The 27,811-nt window shown below is 34.3% G+C and overlaps 1 long non-coding RNA gene across 1 annotated transcript in view; it reads right to left on the bottom strand.

The window, feature by feature from the left end:
- LOC105374235 (uncharacterized) overlaps window positions 1-27,811 on the bottom strand; it is a 221,596-nt gene that overhangs the window by 63,189 nt on the left and 130,596 nt on the right. The window lies entirely within an intron of this gene.

The raw sequence follows: 27,811 nt of genomic DNA on the forward strand, positions 1-27,811 counted from the left end.
GACCATTCATAAAGATAGACATTCAATAATGATAAAAGGGTCAATTTATTAAGAGAAGTAACAACCCTAAATGATTATGCACATAACAGAAATGCCCCAAAATGTAGAAAGCAAATACTGATAGCGCTCAAAGGAGAAATAGACATACAATTATAGTATAGAACTTTAACCCTCCTTTCTGGGAAATTGATAGAACCGGTAGACGTAAATCAGTAAGAATACAGAGCATTTGACCTTCACTATGCATCCAGTGACTTAGTGAACATTTATAGAACACGTCACTCAATAATAGTAGAATGCATATTCTTTTCAAGTGCACACAAAATGTTATTAAGTTACATAATATGATGAATAATAAAATAGATCTCAATATATTTTTAATATGAAGACATAAAACTTTTGATCAGAGATGAAGAAATTTATTCTTCACAGCGATAGCAGTAGCTAGGGTATCAGTGTATCTTTTTGGTCAGCTCTCTCAACCCTAATTTCTGCAGGTGATACAAAGACAACCAATTGACACATTAACCTATGCTGCATTTTTTTTTTTTACAGGAGAAGAACCCTGAGCCTAGAAAATCTGAAGCATTTCTAAGGAGTATTAAGCATATGCAACAAATATGCTTCTATGCTCCAGGGAAGACATTATAGTTACCATCTAAGCCTGTAAGAAAATATGCCCTTTGCTCTAAAGAAAGATATTATCTTTATCATCTTTTGAGGATGGTCACTATAGAAACATCTGTGAAAAAATAATCCAGAGGAAAGGCAATCAGTGCAACAAAATGTGCAGAAACACGAGTGATGGGTGGAAAATTGTCTAGCCATAATCACAATAAAAATTCCATCAGGCAATTTTCTTAGTAGAAATTAAAAACCAGATTACACAATTTATAAGGTGACACAGTGACTGGGAGTAGCCACAACAATTTTTTGGAAACTTTAAAAATCTTTACTTATTAATTTATTTTAAAATTACAATGATAAACCCATTATATGTTGACATAAATTGAATTTATATGAAAAAATAGCTGTTTTCAAAAAATACTGAGTGAGGCTTTTAAAATAATTTTAACCATTTTGAGTGTTGTTTCAGTGGCATTTAAGAAGATTCACATTGCTGTGCAACAACTGTTAACACCATTCACCTCCATAATTCATTACACCTTGTAAAATTGAAACTTTGGACATGTTAAATAACTCTTCTTTCCCCTTCTCCCTAGCCCCTGGAAACCATCTTTCTACTTTCTTTTTTTTTTTTTTAAATAAACTTGATTACTTTACTTACCTGATATAAGTAGAATCAGGCAGTATATGTCCTTGTGTGTCTGTTTCACTTAGCACAATGTCTTCGAGCTTTATCCACGTTGTAATGTGTGTCAGAACCTACTTTCTTTATAAAGCTAACTAATATTCCTTTGTAAGTGTAGATCATATTGTGTTTATTCATTCACCTATTGATGGACTCCTAATTTGCTTCCACCTTCAGCTATTGTAAATAATGCTGCCATAAACAGGGATGTACAAATACCTGTTCAAGGTCTTGACTAACATTCTTTTAGGTACCTAGCTAGAGGAGGAATTGCTGGATTATGTGTTAATTTTATTTTTAATATTTTGAGGAATCATCATACTGTTTCCATAGCAGCTGTACCATTTTACATTCCTACTATAAATGTACAAGAGTTGCAATTAAAAAAAAAATCCTTGTCAACATGTTGTTTTCTGCTTTTTTTTTTGTAATAGCCATCCTAGTGGCCTTGGGTTTAGATTACTTTTTTTTTTTCTATTTCTTTAAGGTATAAGATTAAGTTGTTCATATGGGATTTTTCTTTTTTAAAGCAAGCACTTATAGCTATAAATTTTCCTCTTAGTACTGTTTTCACTGCATCCCATAAGTTTTGGTATGTTGTGTTTTTATTTTCATTTATTTCAAGACTTCAAATTTCTCTTGTGACTTCTTCTTTAATTCATTGGTTGTTTAAGTGTGTGTTGTTTCATCTTCACATTTTTGTGAATTTTCTAGTTCTTGTTCTATTGCTAATTTTCTTCTATTGAGAACAGAAAACATACTTTGTATGATTTCATTCTTCTTAAATTTAGTGAAGCTTGTTTTGTGGAAAACATACAGTCTATCCTGGGGAATGTCACACGTGCACTTGAGAAAAATATCTATTGCTGAATGATATGTTCTGTGTATGTCTCTTAGATCCAATTGGTCTATGGTGTTGTTCATGTCCTCTATTTCCTTATTGATCTTCTGTCTGGTTGTTTTACCCATTATTGAAAATGCAGAATTTTTTTCTTGGAGTGTCTCAATTTCTCCCTCATTTTTGAAGGACAGTTTTTTGGATGTAGGATTATCAGTTGACAGGTTTTACCCCCACCCCTTCTTTCAGTATTTTAAATATGTCAGCCCATTGCCTTCTGGCCTGCACAGTTCCTGCTGCAAAATTCACTAGCAATTTAATTGAGGATCCCTTATTTTGTGATAAGTTGCTTTTCTCTTGCTACTTCTAAGATTCTCTCTTTGTCTTTGTCTTTTTACAGTTGGTTTATAGTGTGTCTTGGTATGGGGCTCTGCAGGTTTCTCTTACTTAGAGTTTGTTGAGCTGCTTCTGTTTGTTATCCCCATCTTTCCTCAAATCTGTGAAGTTTTTGGACATTATTCCTCCCCATTAACTGTGTATTTTTCTCTTTTTATTCTTCTGAAGTTTCTACAATACATATATTGGTCTACTTAATGGAGGCTCATAAGTTCCTTAGGCTCTGTTCACTTTTCTTCATTCTCTTTTTTTTTGCTCTTCAGACACAATAATTTCAAATGATCTGCCTTCAAGTTCACTAATTTATTCTCCTGCCTATTCAAAACTGCTGTTGGACTTCTCTAGTGAATTTTTAAATGTGTTTGTTGCACTTTTTAGCTCTCCAATTTGTTTGATTATTTTTTAATATAATTCCTATCTCTTTGGTGATGTTATTATTTTGTTCATATATTATATATTTTTCCAGTTTCCTTTAGTATTTTTTTTTGCATTTTCCTTTAGCTCTTTCAGCATATTTAAGAGAGTCTTAAAGTTTTTGTCTAGTAAGTCTGAAATCTGTGTTTATTTAGGGTCAGTGTCTGGAGACGTATTTTGTTCCTTTGAATAGGCTATGTTTATCTGATTTTTCTTTTTTGTTTTTGTATACCTTGTGATCTATTAAAATTGGGTATTTGAAAGAAACAGTCATATCCACTAGCCTTTGCAAACTGGCTATGTGAGGGAGAAGATGGTCCCTAATCAGTTAGGTAGGGTTCTCTCAGGCTTTTTTTGTGCATTCATCTTCCCCGAGTCTGTGTGTATACTTTTGTTCCAATTATTCTAAATATATGACTGTTTTTAAATGTGTTAATTTTCCTAAAAATTTCTCCCAGTTGCTTTGTGGAGCCCTTCATGTATACCTCTGCCCTTAATTCTTTCACAAAGGTGCCCACAGATCTGCAGTTGCCCTGAAGTTGTCCCAAGTCATGATGCTCACTACCACCTCTGTGGCTTCTAACCTGAGATTCAAACTATGCTGTGGACCTTATCTGTGCTCTGGATAAGGCAATAACGGAACTAGTTCACAGACAGGCTAGAAAATTGCAAACATGTTCTACCCTTTTTCTTCTGTTTTGAGGGATGGAACTGGGAATTGGGTGGCTTTCTACCAATCACATCATGCCAAACAAACACAAAATTGACCAATAAGCACATAAAAAAATGCTCAAGATTATCCGTCATCAGGAAAATATAGAGTAAATCCACAGTGAGATACTACTTCACCCCATCATAATGGCTAAAATAATAAAAATTGAAAATTTCACGTGTTAGCAGTTGTGTGGAAGAATGAACATTTTCTTGTTCATGGGAGTATAACATGATGTTAAACAGTTGGAAAACAGTTGTTATAAAATTTAACATACACTTGCCGTATGACCCAACAATTATCCTGTAAAGAATTTACTTCAAACAAATGAACACAAATATTTACACAAAAATGTGTTCATTAACTTGTATATCAGCTCTATTCGTAGTATTCGAAATCTGGAACCCAATCAAATGTCTATCTCCTGGCAAATAGATAAATTTTGGTATATCTATACAATAAAATATTACTCAGAAAAAAGGAAGTAAATATTGATAAATGCAACTGCACAGATATACCTCAAAGACCTTCTGCTGAGGAAAAGAAGTTAGACACATTAAAAAAAAATAGGGAATCTAATATACATGACAGAATACACATTACTGGTTGACTGTGGCCAAGAGTGGGTAAGGTTTAACTGTAAGGTAGCATATAAGAGCTTTTAGGAATGATGTGAATGTTCTATGCATTTTTTGGACACATTAAATTATATTTTAAGTGAGTGCATTTTTTTTTTTTTTGAGACAAGTTTTGCTCTTGTTGCCCAGGCTACAGTGCAATGGCACGATCTCAGCTCACCGCAACCTCCACCTCCCAGGTTCAAGTGATTCTCCTGCCTCAGCCTCCCGAGTAGCTGGGATTACAGGCATGTGCCACCATGCCTGGCTAATTTTTGTAATTTTAGTAGGGACGGGGTTTCTCCATGTTGGTCAGGCTGGTCTCAAAACTCCCAACCTCAGGTGATCCGCCCACCTTGGCTTTCCAAAGTGCTGGTATTACAGGTGTGAGCCACTGCGCCCAGCCCAAGTGCATTTTATAATATGTAAAATACATGTTTATTAAGTTGATTAAATATTAATTAATGTAAACATAAAAATTACTCGTTTGGTCTTACTAGAAAAATATATGCTTTTGATTACTGGTCTCATCTTCTAAAAAGGATTTATTTCTACTTTATCTTTAGCTTTACCTTCAACATCTGGCCCAAATTTATTTTGTACTGGAGAGGAATACTACCTTCTGCATGCCTAGAAGCATGCCTCTTACCAGCAGACATCTTCCAAGGGAAATGATGTGGAGCAAAGGAATGAGCACACAAACACTCATGTCTTAAGTCTAAAACAAAAACCCAAAAGTGTTTGCTTTGTATCGCATATTATTTTTTTATTTTGTATTTTCCATTCTCTTTTCATTTCACCATGGATGTTTTCTACAAGCCTATACTTATACTTACTAATGCTTTCTTCCGTTAATCTTCCATTAAAATCCATACTGAACTCTTAATTTTAAAAATAATTAAAATTATTGTTTAAACATTTCTATTTTTAAGATTTTTATATTGTTTCTTTAGAAAATAAATTCTAGTTCTCTGGTAAAATTCTTTATCCTGTCAAATATTTTCTTGAACATATTAAGGTTTTTTCAAAGTCTGTGCTTGTTCACTCCAAAAAAATAGTGTGCCTACATGTCTGTTTCTTATATATGTATATAAAAATTACCACAAAAAAAGGAATCTAATTTATAGTGACAATAGATCAGTGGTTGACTGTGGCTGTGAGCAGGGGAAGGAATTAACAATAAAGAGGCATAGGTAAATATTTTGGGGAGAAGAAAATTTTCTGTACTTTGATAGTGGTAGTAGTTACATAATGTCAAGTTTTTCTTTTGGTCTCATACTGTTACATACTCTTTAGTTATTCATCTAATGTTAGATATTTTGTATGAAATAAAACTAAGCTACTCCTTCATACATTACAAAATATTGAAAGCTTAACATGTGCCAGTCCTTTTACTGGGGATCTAGCACTAAAACAGGACAGACACAGCTTCCATACTGACAGAGCTTCCAGTTCCTTGGTGGACCTTTCTAATTCCTGAAGTTCTTTGGGCTTTCAAAGTTGTTCACACTCTTTTATTTACCCAGAATGCCATGGTCCCTGTGTTTGTATGCTCAAATCATATACATATTTTTAAATGTTACAATTTTTAAATACAATTTTAAATGTTACAGCCTCAATAAATCTGTCTATATTAAAAGTAATCTTATGTTAGTCTGAGCTTTCATGTTAAATGATCTGTTCCTCTAATGGTATTTATATAATCTGCCTGCCTGGTAATATTAATGAAGTATCCCATATAACCAGATTTCAAACTCTTTAAGTACAAGGACCTTGTCTTACTAACTCTTGTATGTACTATGGTATGTAAAAAAGTGCCTGATCGTAGTAAACATATGTATTAAGTGAATATTTGACTGTGTCATTATAATGTTTATAAAATTATAGTCCATGTTTTAATATTTTCTACCTAATAATTCACCACTCTACTTACTCCTAATTATTGAGCTCGAATCACTTATAACCCTACCATAACTAATTCTAGCTTGCAGCTTCCATGATACTCTACTATGCTGACAAACCAGATAATCAAGCTTATTAAGGAATATGTATTAAGTAAATGTAATTAGGCTTTTAGGGAGGGTGTAATGACTTTTCATACATTAAATCATGGCTTGAAAGTTTTGCTTCAAATCTGATTGCTTAGACTGTTTTCTCAACATCCACATTTTGGGGCTATATTTTAAAGCATTAGACAATGGTTTCCAGAAATCTGACCTCCATAAAAATAGGGCATTGCATTGCTAGAAAAAATTATCCCTTTTATAGAAAATGGCCATTCTAACACTGAATATGTGTCCTTTCTGACAAATGGATTCTGGTGTTCAGGACTCAGAACCAGACAGCTGTCACAGTACCACGGAGGATTCCTCTAAATTGTAGCAGATGGTGCTACTTATTTGGCCATCTAATGCTATTCTGAAGCATCAGTTGGCCAACTGCTGTGGTGGAGGTATGAAAATAGAAGATTTATTTAGAGCCAGAGGATGCAAGCACAAATATTTTGGAATACAGAGTTTAAACTGATATGGAAAATTTGTATCCAACAAATTGACAGGCAAGATCCATTAGAGGGTGTGGTTATAAAACACCATCCCTCAGATGAAAGCATTCATGGAAAATATAACCTCTTTGGCCAGCTGTCTTATAATCTCTTCCATGCCCCTTTCCCGTGACGTGCACATAGCCACAGGCATACTACATAAGCACACACACACCACATGTATTTCCATACATACATTTGCTAATCGGTCTGCAATTTAAATTTAATACCGCTTAGGAACCAGCTGGGTCACCTGTAGCTGGTCTGTGGAAATATGCACAGTATGTGTTGGTGATCTACACTAGAAGAGGTCCTCTCAATTTTATCTTTAAGGTAGCAGCTGCAGTCTTGTATAGCTTATGCCAATATACAGTAATCTGTGTTTTCTGCAACACAGTGATATCAGGCATTTTGGTCACACTTTTAGCCATTTCCATAGAAGCTATGGATCAATCTTTATCAGAATTAAATCTAGTTAATTAACACTCTGCTTGCCATTGCCAAGAATACAATTTTTAAGTACTTCCTTAATTCTTATTTATATCATTAACTATTTACATACATAGATTAAAGATAGCTTACAACAGCTATTTAATAGAATACTAGTGCAACATAAACCCTTTTATAAAGTCGATACATTCTTATTATGTTTACAGTGAGCTTCTTAAGAAAAATGAACTAATTAAATTATTCAACCAAACATAAATTTATATTGGTATACTACATTACCTAAAAGGAGGTGAGTTAAAAAGTAAAAAATACACAGAAAACTGAGAGATTATTTTCAAGCATCTGTATTAGAGGTTCAGCATAATATGGCACATGAATTGGAAACACTAACATACAAATAAAAATGACATACTGAAATAGACCTAAATTAATGACTAGAACAGCTTTGCATGGCTTATTAGTAAAAGTAAGTGAGACTGTGGTGCAGAAAAAAAAGCCTTTAAAACACAGAAAGAGCACTTAACCAAAAAGGAAGTTCCCCAAATTGGTCAAGATCAAAGGCAAACAAGAAATTGAAACAGCAATTAAAACAGAAGTAAATGAATAAATAAATAAATACAGTTTTACAATTAAGTTGAGAATTTTTTCATGATAACCTCAGGTGTGGTTAAAAGCATTTTAAATAAAACCAAAGGAGGGCACAGAATAGGTGTGGAGAATATTCATGGGCAGAGCATACAACATACCTTCTTGGGGGCTAGTGAGGCAGAAGCAGACAGGCACAGGCAATATGAATACTTTTCTCCTTATAAGAGAAAATTTCTTCCAAATTATCTTTACAACTGTTTCTAAGTCCTTGAAATGCCTGTGAGAAAATTTAGGGGCAAACAGTCTTCTGTGACAATAAGAACCAGCAGAGGAAACCATCATTCTCAGCAAACTATCGCAAGGACAAAAAAACAAACACCGCGTGTTCTCACTCATAGGTGGGAATTGAACAATGAGAACACTTGGACACAGGAAGGGGAACATCACACACTGGGGCCTGTTGTGGGGTGGGGGAAGGGAAGAGGGATAGCCTTAGGAGATATACCTTATGTAAATGACGAGTTAATGGGTGCAGCACACCAACATGGCACAGGTATACATATGTAACAAACCTGCACGTTGTGCACATGTACCCTAGAACTAAAAGCATTAAAAAATAAAAATAAAAAAATAAAAAAAAACTCAAAAAAATTGCTCTAAAAACTAACATCTTTAAGAATTTAAAAAAAAAAAAACAGAAAATGTTAACGAAGATATATCAAAATTTAACCTTTTGTGTACGGCTGGTCAGAATGTAAAATGGGGCAGCTGCTATAAAAAACACTGTTGTGGTTCATCAAAAAATTAAAAGTAAAATTACCACATGAAAAAAAAAAAGAACCAGCAGAAATAATAATACTCTTAGTTGTCAAAATTTATCAACAGTCTCTTGTTTGACAGCCACTGCCATATCTGTGTCACTTTTGTCCCAGCTTAACTCTTTGCCCCCACTTGAGATTTAGGGTTCAAATTGTTTACATTTTATTGATTGCCTTTAAAGACAAGACTTACTGCTAATTTGCTACCTGGCTTGTTTAAACCCCACCCTATCTCCTATTTTTTGCTACCGTCACCCCCACTCAACTCTCGCACAATGAATTAGGCCTGGTACCCAATTTTCCATTCACATTTCTGGTTTCCATGTCTATCTCAAGCTCTTAAACTATGCCTCTGTTACATTTCATTTCATAATATGTGGAAGAAAGGCTGTAAAGATCCAGCAGTGGTAAAAACACGGTATGCTCAGATGAAATTAATAAACCAGACTTAGACAATCTGTGCTACAACGGTTAATATTCATTAAGTACTAAGGGATAAGTTCTGTTTTAAACACTTTTCATACTTTAATTCATTTAATCATACAAAAACTGTGTATTATAAGTAACAATTACCTAATTTTAAGAATAAGAAAACTGAATGACAGGTTAAATAATAAAACTTCTAATACACCTATACTGCTAGCTCATGGCAGAGCTAGGATTTGAACACAGGTAGTTTAGAGTCAGAGTTCACCCTATTTTCCATTATGCTGTATGATATCTACTTGAGAATTAAAAAACATTAAAAGACAAAACAATGCAATTAGGATTATATGTAAATTACCATTACAAATTATAATTTTTCAGGAACATCAATGAATTATGAACACCTTTCTGTGAGCTTATCAAGAAATTAGATTCCAGAGAGGCTGAGAAATTCAGACTAATGAGCCCATAGTTACCCATGTTCAGATTAAATAGAAAGAGAATCTCTAACTACAGGTAGAATCTGAAAAAGCTTCCAAAGTTTTGATGAAATTGAAGTTGTTGTCTATTTTTTTTTAGGTATATCCTTCAGGTATATCCACTTCTTTTGGAAGCTTCAAAGCAAAGCAGGTATACAGATGTCATATGACTATAAGATAACTCCGATGTACATTAGGGATCCTTGTCTATATAAAGAGAGTAGATGGAGTTATTATGCTACATAGAGTGAAAACTGGTATTTCACTGATGAGGGAAGTGCCAACAGAATGACGCATTGAACTTAAGTAAGAGAACAAGGTTATAGGATAGATTTCATAGCCTTTAAATAATTAACCATTAATTAACATAGTTAATTACATAAAGACTTTGAAGCAATTATAATTACTTGAGGTGAGAGGAAGCAGTTGAAATAGGCAGGTTGGTAAGTATATTTGAGATCTATAAATATTTTGCACGATGGTTAGCAATCTGGTTTACTTTCTTTTTTTATGCCCGAAGGTATTTTGCAAGTCTGTCTGCATGTCCTGGAGTTATTCCGGGTAGTCATCTCATGAGCTTTTCTAAGATTGATGCCAGAAAATATTGTTGAATCAGGAACATATTTGGAATGAGTGAGGATGTTCCAAGTTGATAGTATATGACATTGTTAAAAAAATATGTGTACATGTTTTTGCCTGGTCAGGGCTCTTTGAGCAAAGATTGGTAGCAACATGAGTCAAATGACTGAATAGTAAGGTTAAGATGTATGCCTCTAAAAAATACAGAGCTTTATTTCCCTGAAGATTCGTGTTTACGTTTCAATTAAAAAAAAAAAAAACCTAGAGCTATTTGTTTACATTCTAAAATGTTATTGGAAGCATCAAGGATCTTCCCTATCTCTTCCCAAAAAAAATTGTTTCCATGAGAGAGCAACATTTTCTCCCCATCTATCTGGGAGAAAAGTTCCTACATAAACTATATTGTATAGTTTTGGAGTTTCTCACTTGTAGCACAAAACCCCCTTTTGCACATGCAGATGACATCTGTTCTCATTGTGTCACCCCAAAGGGATAAAAAGAATACCAGAGCTGAGATTGCTACATAAGTAAATAATTGCCTATTTCTTATCCAGATATCTTCAAGATAAAAAAATACAGATATTAAAAATTTATTATTTAAAAATAGGAATGTTTCAAGGTTTGTGCTTGGCTAGTGTGTTTGTTCTGTATGAATGCTTCCTGGAACAAATATCTCCCAGATATTTTTGTGCAAGGTATTAATATGTGTTGCACAAGTGAAAGGATTACATGATTAAGTAAGTTTGAGAAACATGGCATACCATCTCCATCTCTCTCTCTCTCTCTCTCTCTCTCTGTCTCTGTCTCGGGTACATCAAAATTGGGTTCTGAAAACCCCTACACTAAACAAACGTGTTCAGTCTTCACTCTGTGTTTCCAAGTCAGTAATGCCGTTGGAGAATGAACTCATAGCTTCTTCTTATCCCCCAAATGTGTCAGAAAAGTATCCTGAAGTTAGTGCCATATTCATGAATGTATTTTCTGTGTAAATGTCTCAGGAGACTTACTAGTTAGTGTTATTTTTCCTCTCATTGTCCTCAATGTCCTAAAAAAAGTCACTCTATTGGCCCTCTACAAAGCAACTACTATTCAAAAAACGCAGTGATTTTTCAACACTTCAAGCTCTTTAAAATCACCCAGGTAGCTTTTAATAATACCAATCCCTGTGTCCCAAAGCATGGCAATTAAAAGAGAACCTCTAAGAATGAGTCAGGAATGTGTAAGATTTAAAAGCTTCCCAGGTGATTCTAATGTATAGCCAGGCTTAAGAACCTGCCCCACTCACCAATACAGAGCAGTTGTTCTCAAACTTTAATGAATGTAGGCATCACCTGCATATGAATGCAGACACCCACAGAGGTTATTATTCAGCAGGTCAAAGGTGGGCTAGAAAACTCCTTTTTAAATGAATACTCCAGATGCTTCTGATATGAGTCCTCAATGAGCACCCTTTGAGATACACAGACATAGGCTAAACCCACCCCCTGCCTGCATCAGGATAGTCAATCAAAAATTCTATCTTCTGGAAATCAAAGGATGATATTTTAATTCTCCCCTATTCAAACAAGGGGTGTGAAATAATTTTAGAATTCTAACAGCAAAGTTTAGACTCCTTTTTAATGTCTCTGGCAGACTATGGGTGAGAATAAGCAGTCTATTCTCCAGTAGTTTGATTCAGCTGCAAGAAGGAAAGCCCAGATACCCTAACAGCATTCTTCTGTGACAATTCATAAATCTGGCTCCTCAGAGCAGTTATTCCACCTGTAGAATATAGAAGATTCAGCCTGCATAATGAATTTGTTTCAGAAAACTGGCTAAATTTCTAATTTTGGTAATGGCTATCAGATCAAACTCCTGTAAATAACAACCATAAACTATGGTTAGAATATGGAAAACAATTTCCAAAGGCACTGGAAAGAAAACAAAATGCCCAAACACTGGAGGGCGATCAACATGTAGAAGAAAGAAATAGTACAAAGTATGTTTCTCATTTTTTATAGCTTTTAGCCTAAAGACAGGCCACAGCTGACATGCAAAGTTGCTAAAACCAGAAAAAAAAAACCCAGATTATTGAGGACCAAGAACACAGAATAAAGAGGCACCTATAGTAACCGGAAAGTGAAATGAAAATCCTGGAAAGATGAGAGCAACAGATAGAGCACTAAATTCTGCAAACTCTGCTCAAATCTCTGGCTCACTCCTAAACTACACATTCAAGAGACAGCTTCCAAGAAGCCTAGTTAAGGTAAAACAACAAATAAGGAAAAAATTCAACTATGAAATCATTACTTGGAGTTTGAGTTTTCTTTATAGAAAAATATCAGAATCTAAATTCTTTCAGACACATAATTCATAATATCCAGCATGCAGTAAAAAATTATGTGGTATATTAAAACCAGAAAAATATGACCCATTTTCAAAGGAAAAAAAATAAACAGAATTCAGCTTCAAATAATGCAGATGTTGTAATTACCAGATACGGGTTTTAAAGCATCTATCTTAAATGAGATAAAGTATGCATGTAATATGCACAAAAACAGGAAATAGCAAATAAATAGAAATATAAAAAGAACAACATGAAATTTCCAGAAGTGAAAACAAAAATGCAGTATCTAACATAAAAATTAAATGGATATACTTCATAGCAGAATGGAAATTTCCAAATAATCAATCAGAGAATTTAAAGATATACTGATAGAATTAAAAACAAAAATTGTATTATTATATGATTATTTCCATAGGTGCAGAAAAAGCATTTGACAAAATCCAGCATCCCTTTACGATTAAAACCCTCAGCAGAATTGCCATAAAAGAGACATACCTCAACGTAATAAAAGCCACCTATGACAAACCCAGAGCCAATTTTATACTGAGTGAGGAAAAGATGAAAACATTTCACCTAAGAACTGGAAGAAGATAAGGATGCCCACTTACACTAGTTCTAGTCAACACAGCACTGGGAATCGTAGCCAGAGCAATTCAACAAGACAAAGAAACAGAGTATCCGAATTGGTAAAGAGGAAGTCAAACTGTCACTGTTCACTGATGATATGATTGCATATCTAAAAAACCCTAAAGACTCATCCACAGAGCTCTTAGATCTGATAAATGAATTCAGTAAAGTTTCAGGATACAAAATCAACATACACGTATCAGTAGCACAGCTATATATCAACAGCTATCAAACTGAGGATCAAATCAAGAATGCAATCCCTTTTACAACAGCTGCAAAAAATAAAATAAAATACTTAGGACTATACCTACCCAAGGAGATGAAAGATCTTTACAAGGAATACTACAAAACACTGCTGAAAGAGATCATAGATGACACAAACAAATGGAAACACATCCTATGTTCATGGATGGGTGGAGTCAATATTGTGAAAACGACCATACTGCCAAAAACAATCTACAGATTCAATGCAATTCCCATCAAAATACCATGATCAGTCTTCACAGAACTAGAAAAACCAAATTCTAAAATTCATATGGAACAAAAAAAGAGCCTGCATAGCCAAAGCAAGACTAAGCAAAAAGAGCAAATCTGGAGGCATCACATTACCCGACTTCAAACTATACTACAAGGCTATAGTTACCCAAACATCATGGTACTGGAATAAAAGTAGGTATGTAGACCAATGGAACAGAACAGAGAACCCAGAAATAAAGCCAAATATTTACAGTCAACTGATCGCCGACCAGGCAAACAAAAATGTTAAGTGGGAAAAGGACACCCTATTCAACAAATGATGCTGGGATAATTGGCAAGCCATATATAGAAGAATGAAACTGGAATCCTCATCTCTCACCTTATAAAAAAATCAGCTCAAGATGGATCAAATACTTAAATCTAAGACTTGAGACCACAAAATTTCTAGAAGATAACGTTAGAAAAACCCTTCTAGACATTGGCTTAGGCAAAGAGTTCGTAACCAAGAACCTGAAAGCAAATGCAATAGAAACAAAAATTAACAGATAGGACCTAATTAAACTAGAAATCTTCTGCACAGCAAAAGAAATAATCAGCAGAGTGAACAGATGACCCCGGAGTGGGAGAAAATAGTTACAATATATGCATCTGACAAAGGACTAATATACAGAATCTACAAGCAACTTAAATCAGCAAGAAAAAAACTTCCATAAAAAAGTGGGCCAATGGCATGAACAGGTATTTCTCAAAAGAAGATATACAAATGTCCAACAAACATATTTTAAAATGCTCAAATGCCCATCAGTGACAGACTGGATAAAGAAAACGTGGCACATATAAACCATGGAATACTATGTAGCCATAAAAAAGGATGAGTTCATGTCCTTTGCAGGGACACGGATGACGCTGGAAACCATCATTCTCAGCAAACTAACACAGGAACAGAAAACCAAACACTGCATGTTCTCGCTCATAAGTGGGAGCTGAACAATGAGAACACATGGACACAAGGAGGGGAACATCACTCACTGGGGCCTGTTAAGGGGTGGGGGCTAGGTGAAGGATAGCATGAGGAGAAATACCTAATGTAGATGATGGGTTGATGGGTGCAGCAAACCACCATGGCACGTGTATAACTATGTAACAAACCTGCACATTCTGCACATGTATCCCAGAACTAAAAGTATAATTTTTAAAAATGCTCAACATCACTAATTCTCAGGAAATTACAAATCAAAAAAACCACAATGAAATACCACCTTACTCCTGCAAGAATGGCCATAATTTTAAAGTAATAGATGTTGATGTGGATGTGGTGAAAAGGGAACACTTTGACACTGCTGTTGGGAGTGTAAACTAACACAACCACTATGGAAAATACTATGGAGTTTCCTTAAAGAACTAAAAGTAGAACTACCATTGGATCCAGCAACCCCACTGCTGGGTATCTACCCAAAGGAAACTAAGTCTATATGAAAAAGACATTTGCACATGCATATTTATAGCAGCACAATTCACAATTGCAAAAACATGGAACCAGCCTAAATGCCCATCAACCAACTAGTGGGTAAAGAAAATGTGGTACATATACATCATAGAATACTACTCAGCAATGAAAAGGAATGAAACAATGACATTCATAGCAACCTGGATGGAGTTAGAGACCATTATTCCAAGTGAAGTGACTCAGGAATGGAAAACTAAATATCATATATTCTCACAAGTGGGAGCAAAGCTGTGAGGATGCAAAGGCATAAGAATGATATAATGGACTTTGGGGACTTGGAGGAAAGGGTGGGAGCAGGTGAAGGCTAAAAGACAAAATATCAGGTATAGTGTACACTGCTTGGGTGATGGGTACACCAAAATCTCGGAAATCACTGCTAAAGAACTTATTCATGTAACCAAACACCACCTGTTCCCTAAAAACGATTGAAATAAAATAAAATTTTAAGAATAAAGAAATACCTGAGATGGGTAATTTTTTAAAAAATAACAAAGATACACCAATATAAATTAAATCTGGAAAAGTGCAAATGAGAAAGAAAAGATTTAAAAAATAGTACCTCAAGAGTCTGTGGGACAATACCAAAATATATGAAATACATGTTATTAGAGTCCTAAGGAGAGTTCAGAATAAAGCCAAAAATTTCCCCAATTTGGTGAATGACCTAAATTTACAAAGATTTCAGAAAGCTACAAGCAGAATAAGTACAAACAAATAGCTCTAGGTGCACCATTCAAACTACTAAAAGTCAAATATAAAGAGGAAATCTTGAAAGCAGCCAAAGAAAAAATGACACATTGCATAAAGGGAAACAAAAATTCAGCTGAACACTGACTTCTGCTCAGAAACAATTGACACCCAAAGGCAGTTGACCATGTGCAGAAAATGGTACAGGAATTGACATGCAGAAGGAAAATATCAGAACAAAAACTGGAGAGGAAAGTGGAAGTTAAATAATTTATCAGAGCCATAGAGTTGAAGATGGAGAAAATATTGGATACCCAAGGTTGCATAATGTATCTAAACATTAGACAATAATGGGATATAAGAGGGCAATTCCACATGAGCCTAGAACAATAGGGTATAGAACACCGATGATCACGGGGTCAAGTCTGCATTTGAACTTGTACGAGATGTGTTTTTCCCATACTATGGCATAATATGAAAATGTCACGTTCTTCATCTATTCCTCTTCCCCAACCAGAGAAGCACTTTTATCTATATAATGGGGATAGTTCACGACACTAGTTCTCCTCCATTTGTATAATTAATATAATATAATATAGCTGTATATTTCAAAAGCCTCTAACACTTATGCTTTAACAAAATAGTTTCCATTGGATTAATTTAGTCTAAGAAAAGTATATGAAGTATAGAGAAATACAAGATATTTATCAGATTTTTATTTATATATATTTTTTAAAAAACAATATTAATGGTAGAAATAAATGAATAATTAAGTAACCTTAATCTTCCATTCATGAGGGTTCCTCATGAATGGGAGTAGTGCCCTTATCAAAAAGACCCCAGAGAGATCCCCCGATCGTTCCTCCAGGTGCGATTACAATGAGAAACAGGAAGTGGGCCTTCATCAGACACTGAATCTGCAGGTACCTTGATCTGGACCTTTTGGCCTTCAGAACCTCAAAAAATACATTTCCATTGTATATAAGCTAACCAGTGTATAGTATTTTGTTATACTACACACATAGTATATGGGAGGGAGGGAAAAATGTAGGGAAAGTAGAAGAGAGGCAGAGTCACACACACACACACACACACGAGAGAGAGAGAGAGAGAGAGAGAGAGAGAGAGAGAGAGAAATGAGATTAATGTCGCTGAAAATTGCTGAATAAAGAACAAACCAGCCCAAAAGCTAAAGCACTGGCACTCCACAGATAATCTGCAATGTAGCTTATTCAAAAGCATATGACCTAAAATGTTATAGATGAAAGAAGAATTATGTTAAACCCTAGATTATATGCATTTGATGTATATAATAAACACAATGTGTATTACATACAAAATATTGCTTTCATTTATTCAGGGGAAGAACAATCTATATTCTGTTTTCATTATGGGACTGTATAGGCATTTATTGTATGCTTTATACTACAGTTCTTTAAAGTATTTCAATTTATTTCCCTGCTAACATTTCATTCTAGAAATGGCAAGGATTAGAACTTGAGGACAACATACATTTGATGTATTACAAATGTCTGCTACAGATTCATTCTTTGGAAGGCTTCAAGTGTACAATTAAAAATTTACAACCTATTAATCACCTATAATTAATGCAAAGTGAATGGAGGATCTATAGATATGTTCGCATGTCTGCATAGCTTTTCACAAATACAAAGAGTTACCCTGCCACCGGCCCTGTGCCTGTAAAATGCCTGCCAGTTTTAATAACAGAATAAAGTTCCTATGACAGTTTTTTTTTTCAATTTAGAGTTTATTTCAATCAACCATATTATTAGTTATATTCAGCTCATTTAATATTAATCACATTTTCTTTTCACACGTTGCTGGAATTGACCTAGTATGTCTGCAGAGATAATAAGATTAAGGTGAATGAAGTAATGAATAGTATAACATGGTCTAATTATATACCATACTCCCATTCACCTTAATTTGAGAAAGAGCAGAAACTGGATGAAATTCAAAAGGCAGCAGATTGAAAATGGATAAAAAGACTTTTTTATGTGGTGCATAATCAGCTTTCAGAATTCACTGCTGAGGGATATTTCTCAAGCTAAAATTTAGCAAAGTTTCAAGATAGGAATAAGAATGGCATCTGTGGATACACTAGCTGGATGTGAATTTATGGACGCTATCAATCCTCATGCTGGTAGCCATAAAATCATCACCAGCTGGTGCTGGGATGGAAACTCTCCCTGTGGTATCCCACTGTTCAATTGGCCAGATGCATGATGTGCTGTTGTTGTTGTACAAAGACAAAAGAACCCAGAAAGCCTTAGGCATCAGCCTTTGCCAAAAGAAAGATTGCGCACGTGATGGAAACTTCCAAGCAAGCCATGGGCCATGTTCCTATGTTTCGCAGTAACCTCCTTTATCTGTCTTTTGATCAAACGTTATTTCCCCCTTCATGGTAAAACACGATTCCTCCTTTCCACAGAGTTTATTCAATATTATCACTGAATTAGTGTGCACTTTATTGGTTAGAAATGCGACTAATCTCTGCTGTAAATAACCAGACCACCTTTCATTTAAAAGGTGGCAGGTCCCAAACGTCCCCCTTTTAAAGTGGTAACAATGGCCATGGCAGTGATCTGAGGCTTTTGTTAATGGACGGTATGGCAGGTCTATTTGTTGGCATCCTCTCTGATACCCAGAGTCCTTTAATTCCATCTGACAGATTCAGGCCGTGCTCCAGATCTCACAAAAGAGGTGAGGGAGAGTATTGATCCTTCTGTTATTGTTGGTGATTTACTGTTCCACTCCTTTAGCAAATTTAAACACACACGCACACATACAAACACCCACCACTGAGGTCACAGCTGCTAGATGGCAGAGTAATGAGTGATTATTTTCTTATCTCTTCTAAGCTCTATAAGTAACTTCTCTTGTGGATTCATGACAGTCCTGCCAATTTAAACCAAATAAATAATATCTTTTCACCCTAGGGTCAAAGGGTTTCTAAACATGGTAATAAATATCTGCTTAAAATAGAAACTCACACATGTTGAAGGCTTGCAGGGAGCTGAAATGGGCAAAGCTACAAACTACTCTGCCTTTTTTTTTTTTTTTTACAAGTATTCTACGGTCTAAAACAAAACTGAAATTATCATTTTGGAGTAGTCTAACAAAGTGATACCAAAAGGATACATAATGTAGAAGATATAATTATAAAATCATGAAGCTTCTTCTTTCCTCCAATGCCCACATCAGTCATGGAGATTATTGTGCCTGTTAAATGTTGCTGCATTAGGATGCTCTACTGACTTAACTATGTTGCCGTAATACAACATGTTTTTGTATTTCTTTATCACCTTCCCTTCCCTAAATTTATTTTTTGTTGCTGTCTTGTATACTTACAGTGGTTTTGACTCTTGAAACATAAGTTAGGTAATTGTATCATAGTCTACTCCAGAGGCCCTAACCAATTATCACAGACTGTGGTAGCCTAAACAGAAATGTATTTTCTCATAGTTATGGAGGCCGGAAATCCAAGGGCACAGTGCTGGCAGGATTGGTTTCTGGTGAGGCTTCACTTCCGGGCTTGCAGATGGTGCCTTCTGTCTGTGTACTCACATTGTCTTTTCTCTACGTGTGTGCATGAGGAGAGAAACCCTAGTGTCTCCTCCTCTTCTTACAAGGATGCAGATCCTATCAGAGGATTGGGGACTTCACCCTTATGATCCCATTTAAAGTTAATTAACCTTTTAAAGGCCCTGTCTTCAAATACAGTCATATTGGGGGTTAAGGCTTCAACATATGAATATGGGGGGACACAATTCAGTCAATAACCATAATTTTATTTATTTAATGCCAACTATTTTTGAATATTTCCTCTTGAGGTAAATGACACTTAATATTTAGATAAATGATAATTCTTAGTAGATTAAAAAATATATCACAGGCTCTCAAGACAATTCCAAAACAAGGAGTTTCAGACATGTTTTGAAAAATGTAGGATTTTCCAGAATAAATAAATAGCTTACTAAGATGACTATATTCCTATTGAGAAAGAATAAGAATTAACAATTTCAATTTGACTAAAAAAAATCCACATTATACCAATCCTTCATCATTGTTTATAAAAAATGTTGATGCCCTTCTGTGACAGCCAAATAAGATTCAAAGAGCTTCAAACAGTCTTTCTGCTAATAACAACTTTGGGCTCTGAACAAAATACTAAAACCGTCTTGAAGGCTCTGGAGGAGAAACGAGGCAGATTCTGAAAGGAAGTTGCCATTAGGAAACAGGGAATAAAATGGTACATGTTTTTTGTTCTGATGGCCTTGGTTCAGTATCAGAAATTCTGATGTTCTAATAGAAAACCTACCATCTTTCTCTGCCAAGGAATCAGGGAACGAACCTGATAACCAGAGATGATAGAGAATGGGAGGGAATCACAGAAAGGAGAGATTTAGAAAAGGTGATCCCCAAATTGTGTGTATAAACTCTGCCCGAGCCTCTGACTGATTCCTGAAATGTGCGTGTGTGAGGAACACTACCAGTGACCATCCAAGTATAAAATAACTGAACCAAGATTTGAAATCCACCCAGTGCTGGTGAACCAGAATTTGCAGTCTGAATCTGACCAAGCTAATTGCCCACAAAAACAAAAAACCATTAATGTTCCTCTGAGGCATACATCTAGAGTCTATGCAGTATAACATTTATAATGTTTAATATTAAATCCAAGTTACGTACAAGAAAACATGAGTCCTTTTCAGAGGAAAAAATAACAAATTCAAATCTGAGATGATCAGAAGTGAGAATTATCAGACAATGACTTTAAAGCAGGTGCTTTAAATGTCCAGTAAGGTAAATAAATGTCCAATAAGGTAAAGGAAAATATACTTGTAATGAGTGAAAAATATAGAAAATATCATCAAAAAAATAGACTATGTATTAAAAAAACCAACCAAATAGAAATTTTAGAAAGAAAAAATACAATATTAGAAATTCGCATTTCACTAGCTGGACTTACATAGAAAAAAAATCAGTGAACTAGAAGTTATTGAACTTGGTCAATAGAAATTACCTAATCTGGAATAAGGGAGAAAAAAGATTTAAAATACAGTTATACCTTGAAGATATTGTGGGTTCAGTTCCAGACCACCTCAATAAAGTGAATATAGCAATAAAGTGAGTTACACAAATTTTTTGCTTTCCCAGTACATGCAAAAATTATATTTACAGCATACTGTAGTCTATTAAGTATGTAATAGCATGTACAATGTAGATATCATAACTAAAAATACTTTGTTGCTAGACAAAATGCTGTCTGAGCCTTCAGCGAGTCTTACTATTTTGCTGGTGGAGGGTCTTGCGTCAACAGTGTTCATGGATGCTGACTAATCAAAGTGGTGGTTGCTAAAGATTGCAGTGGCAGTGAAAATTTTTAAAAATAAAACAAGGAATTTTTCCACATTGATTGACCCTTCCTGAACAGAAGATTTCTTTGTAGTATGCAATGCTGTTAAATAGCATTTAACCTACAGTAAAAGTTCTTTCAAAATTGGAACCAATCCTCTTAAGTCTCGATATTGCTTTATTAACTAATTTTATGTAACATTCAAATTTTTTTGTTGTCATGTCAACAATGTTCACAGCATCTTCGCCAGGAATAGATTTCATCTTAAGAAACCACTTTCTTTTCTCGTCCATAAGAAGCAACTCCTCTTCCGTTAAAATTTTATGAGATTGAAGGATTTTGGTCACGTCTTCAGCCTCCACTTGTAGTTGTCTTGCTGTTTCTACCATATCTGTAGTTATTTCCTCCACTAAATTTTTGAACCTCTCAAAGTCATCCATAAGAATTGGAATAAACTTCTTCCAACCTCCTATTAATGTTGATGATAATCTTGCCATGAAACACAAATGTTCTTAATAGCGTCTAGAATGGTGAATCCTTTTCAAAAGGTTTTGAATTGACTTTGTCCAGATTTATCTAAGAAATCACAGCCTATGGCAGTTATAGCCTTATGAAATATGTTTCTTAAATAATAAGAAAGGAAAGTCAAACTTACTCCTTGATATATGAGCTGCAGAATGGATGTTATGTTAGTAGGCATGTAAACAACATTGATCTCCTTGTGCTTCGGCACAAGAGCTCTTGGGTGAGATATACAAGAGCTCTCAGATGTATCGTCATTGAGCAATGAATATTTTGAAAGAAATCATTTTTTTCTGAACAGCAAGTCTCAACAGTGGGCTTAAAATATTCAGTAAACCATGCTGTAAACAGATGTACTACCATCCAGGCTCTGTTGTTCTATTTGTAGCCAAGCAGAGCAGATTTGGCATAATTCTTAAGGGCCCTAGGATATTTGGAATAGCAAATCAACATTGGTTTCAACATAAAGTCATCAGCTGCTTAGCCCCTAACAAGAGTCAGCTTGTCCTTTGAAGCTTTAAATCCAGGTTATGAAAGTTCTAGACAGCATCTCCTTCCAATATAAGGCCATGTTGTCTACAATAAAAATCTGATGTTTAGTGTAGCCACCTTCACCAATGATCCTAGCTAGATCTTCTGGATAAGTTGCTACAGTTTCTACATCATCACTTGCCACTTCATGTTGCACTTTTATGTTTTGGAGATGGCTTCTTTCCTTAAACTTCATAAACCAATCTTTGCTAGCTTCCAACTTTTCTTCTGCAGCTTCCTCACCTCTCTCAGGATCTATGGAATTGAAGAGAGTTCGGGCCTTTCCCTGGGTTAGGTTTTGGCTTAAGGAAATACTGTGGTGGGTTTGATCTTCTATTCAGACCACTACAATTTTCTCCATATCAGCAAAAGGCCCTTTTGCTTTCCTGTCATTTATGTGTGCACTGGGGTAGCACTTTTAATTTCCTTCAAGAACTTTTCCTTTGCATGCACAATTTGGCTAACTGTTTGGCACAAGAGACCTAGCTTTTGGCATATCTTGGCTTTCAATGTGCCTTCCTCACTAAGCGTAATCATTTTTAGCTTTTGATTTAAAGTAAGAGACATACTACTCTACTTTTAGTTTAACCACTTAGAGGCCCCTGTAGGATTATTAATTGGCTTAATTTCAATATTGTCGTGTGTCAGGAAGTAGGGAGGCCCAAAGAGAGAAAGAGAGATGGGGACATGGTCAGCTGGTGAAGCAGTTAGCACACACATTTATTGATTAAGTTTGCCCTCTCACGTGGATGCAGTCTGTGGTGCCTCCAAACAACTATAAGAGTAATATCAAAGATCACTGAGCATAGATCACCATAACAGATAAAATGATAATGAAAAATTTGAAAAATTGCAAGAATTTCCAAAATGTGACACAGAGACACAATGTTGGTACATGCGCTGATAAAGTTGCTCAACACAGAATTGCCGTAAGCCTTCAATTTGTAAAATGTGCAATATCTGTGAAGTACAATAAAGCAAAGCACAATAAAATGATGTATGCCTGTAAAAATGAGCAAACACACAAAAACCTGAAGTAGATCAAAAGTTCTAAAATATGTGTACAGCTGACTCTTGAACAACATGGGAGCTAGGGGTATCAACCCCCACACAGACAAAAATGTGAATATAGCTTTTGACTTCCCAAAACTTAACTACTACCAGCCAATTGTTGACCAAAAGGCTTACTGATAACATAAACTGTCTGTTAACCTGTATTTGTATGTTATATGTATTATATACTAAATTATTACAATAAAATAAGCTAGAGAAAAGAAAATGTTATTAAGAAAATTATAAGAAAATAAAATGTACTTGCTATGCATTAAATGGAAATAAATCATCATAAAGGTCCTCATCTTTATCATCTTTACATCGAGTAGGCCGAGGAAGATCAGGGATTGATCTTATTGTCTAGGGAGTGGCAGAGGTTAGAAGAGGTGGAGAAGATGTAATGGGGAGCCAGGAGAGGCAGGCACATTTTGTGTAACTTCTAGTGAAATCAACTTGCTTAAAATGGACCTTCATTGTTCAAATCCATGTGTTTTAAAGGTCAAGCATAATTATTGTCCCAGAAGAAAAGGAGAGTAAGGGGACAGAAAAAATATTTAAGGAAATAATGGCTAAAAGTTTTACAAATTTAGTGAAAGGTAGGTTCAAGAAACTCAGCAAATCTTAACCAAATAAGTACCAAAGAATGCCCCAAGCCATATCATAGTCAGACTAGTGGCCGACCAGAAATAAGACAAAAATCTTGAGAGTTAGAAAACATGTATGCATACAAGGAGTAATGATTTAAATTATCATAGATTTTTAATCAGAAACTGTGGAGAACAAAGCCTTTAAAAAGACAATCTTTAATTTATTAAATTAAAAAATAAGGAAACCAAGAATTCTATATCCAGCAAAAATATTTATCAAGAATAAAGGAGAAATAAACAGATTTTATATAAAGGAAAACTAGGAGAATTAACCATCAAAATATACCTACACTGGAAGAAATTTTAAGAAGTTATTTTGGCCAAAAAAATATGAAAATGGAGATAAAATCAGATATTCAGAGACAGAGAACATCAGAAATCTTAAATATCTTAGTGAATTACAGGATATTTCTTTTTCTTAATTTAAAAAAAATACACAACTGAAACAATTTTTAATGGACATCCGGAAGGTGGAGGGAAATGGTCTAAGTTGTAATGTTTCTACATTTTATGTTGTTACCATAATTCTGATTAGATAAAATATTTTGAATAAACATGATTTTTCTGAATAAAATATTATTCATCCATTTTTTAAGATGATGTTAGAAATGCTTACCCACATTTAATAGGCGTGTGTTTTACTCCATTTCTACATTTTACTTGGGATATACTAAAATTGTAGTAATTCAAGAGCAACTTCCACCTTTTGGGCAAGGATGACATATTTACAAAGGTGAATCAATAATTAAGTAAAAATGAAATGTTAGGATTCATTTCACTCTTTCAGCAAATACTCACTGAATGCTATAATAGAAAATATATGTATTTGAACTCCACACACATACTCACAAACACATGCATATCAATACCAGTGGGATTAAAAGGAATAAAAGAAGAGATGAAAACTTTTTTCCTTCAAATGACAACACATGAAAATACTTATCTATCCTCACAGTACCTTAGAAAACACACAGAAAGCATTAAAATAAAATGAATTAAGAAGTGGATAAATTAATATTTAAATTAGAACATTTTTGCATCAAGAGATACTATAAAATGCATTAAGACAAGTCCCAAACTAGGAGAAAAATATTTTTAAAATTCTAAAAATAAGTTAGTAGAAGAAAAATAGCTCAAAAACTCTTAAACAGATGATGTTCAAAGAAGAGAAAAACAAAATGGCCATAAACAGATTATCGATTTGTATTAGATATTATCCATTAATATTCAAGGAGATTCAGTTAAACCACAGTGAGATTACATTTTTGTCCCTATCAGGTTAGCAAAACTTAAAATATCTGACAATAACACATTTTAGTTAGGATGTAGAGTAATGGAACTCATACATTACTGTCAGAAGTAAATTGGTAAAACCATTTTAGAGAGCAATTTTGCAATATCAGATAAATTTAAGATATACACATGCTGCCCCTCAGCAATTTTATTTCTAAGTATGTATGAACAGAAACTCTTGCATAAGTACAAAGAAGCATATGAATAAGAATAATTATTGCAGCATTGTTGATAGTAGAGAAACATTATGGATGGGAACAAATTATGTTATACTCATAAAAATAATATTCTATGGGAGAAAAATGAAAATTTTAAAGGTAAACTTTTATGGGTCACCATAAATGCACCTCACAAGCATAATATTAAGAAAAAACAAGCTTCACATATCAAATATTAAAACATATCTAGCAAAACTACATTTAATATAGGTGTACATATAGGTATAGCAAATTATCAAGAAATGCATAAAATTGTGATAATAAACACCCAATTCTATATAGTATTTTTCTTGGAAGAGGGATGATACAATGATGAAAGAATACATATCATAACAGGGAGAACAGTCAGGAAGCTATTACCCTGGTCCTATCAAGGGATTATCACTTAGACTAGAAAATTATGAAGCTGATATCTAAATTCAGTTTTTTAAAAAATTTACCAGTTGAAAGTAATCTTCTAGTTAGGAGTCTCATACTTAATGACCAAATGTGTCTCTTTTTATTATGTGAGAGTTCTCAAACTGAGACTAAGCTTCTCTCTTTGTCAGACAAAAGAAGCACCTGTCTCTTTATCTTGTCCTGAGGTTATATAATAGTACATGTTTACCATCAGCTTTTCTAACTAAACAGACTGCAGAATTATTTATACAATGTTCACACAAAGCAGCAATGGGAAAACATATCAATGTAATAGATTCAATAAAGCTTAATTTTTTAGTTAAATATTTTGGTCACACCATTTTGGCAACTAATAATTTTTTTCTGCAATTCTTCCTTGTCTAATATGTAACACTGAGAAATGAGGCTTCATTAACATCTCCTAGAAACTCTTCTATAATATCATATGTAAAATCTTCTGTAAATATCTGTGCACATCTAGCCCCTCAACACTTAATTTTAAATTGCACACTTTACATCTGAAAAATTGCCTGTCTTGAAATGATTCTCTAGGAATAATTCTCTGCACATATTTCAATGTGATGCCTGTCATCCAGGGATTTCAGAATGTTTCAGTTATGTCAATATACTAAACATATATACATATTTAGTAAACTTTTTTTTACGAAATATGCAAGAATCTTTAGATGATAGTTCACAAGCTTTCTTCCTTAGAACTGTGATGCATGGGAGGATGTGAATTTAGAATTTGCTAGAGATAAGATGAAAAAGTAAAGTGGAAAATAATCTTAACTGCATTATCTTCTTCATAAAGACAGTTTAGATATTTGATTAGTGGAGTTTCCCACATGAATTCAAATAAGTTGATTTGTCTATGGGGGAAAAAAGAAGATTGAAAAATACTGCTCTACACTTGCAATTGGAGGTTCAAACTAAATTTTAAACAATAATAAGAGCTTGTTCACAACATCAGCTTCCATGAGTCAAGATTGAAGCACATCAGTAATTATCTTGAAGGAAGTTTCAACATTTAAAAAATTGTATTTTAAACTCAATACTAAAACAAAAATAATGGAGCATATAAGAAAGAAAAATGCTCTACAAACATTCCACAGCAATAATCTGACAAGCTTAAACCAAAAAGTGAATGTACTGTATTTTTAAAATCTCTAATGGGCGAATAAGGACTGACATTCAAGACAACAAAATTAGATGTATAAATATGAGTAGGTGGTTTAAAAATGAACCAATTCAAAGTTCAATTAAGAATAGTCATAAAAGTATCACTCGACTACATATAGTAGACTAGCTCATAGGAAGAAAAAAATGTACTTGGAATCAAGAACTGAGAAAAATTTTCAAAATGTATCACAGAGAGATTAAGAAATTAGAAAAAATAAATGCAAACTTAAGAGACATTGAAGATAGAGAAACTTTAAATCCTTCTAATAGCAGTCCTAGAAGAAATAAATAGAAAGAATAAGATTGAAGTAAAAGGATAATGCCTATGTATTTTTTGAGTTAAATGAAAGCATGTATCCTTAGATTGAACTTCCTGTCATGTGCCAACCAAGCGTCAACAAGAAAGAAAAGAAGGAAAGAAGGAAAGAAGGTAGGAATGAGAAGGAGCCTAGAAACATTATAGTAAAACAGTAAACTTTATAGTAAAACAGTAGACTGTTTTTTAAAAAACTTAAAACTCATCAAAGAAAACAGATGCATACCCTAGACAGAAATTAAAATCTTACAATGATAGCTATCTGTTCATAGTTGCTCAGCTTCAAATTTACCCTGTATTATCTGCTATGCAAAAACATAGATTGACCCTTTACATTTTTTCCTTTGTCCACTGGAATGATGCTAAAATTTGTCAGTAAGGGATACTGGAGAGACAGCAAAAAGTAGAGGTTTTCATTCTGAGTTCCGTGTACTCTCCCATCAGGCAGTACATGCCCAGCTACTGCTACAAACAC

The sequence above is a fragment of the Homo sapiens genome, chromosome 3, assembly GCF_000001405.40.
Source record: "Homo sapiens chromosome 3, GRCh38.p14 Primary Assembly".
Lineage (NCBI taxonomy): Eukaryota > Metazoa > Chordata > Mammalia > Primates > Hominidae > Homo > Homo sapiens.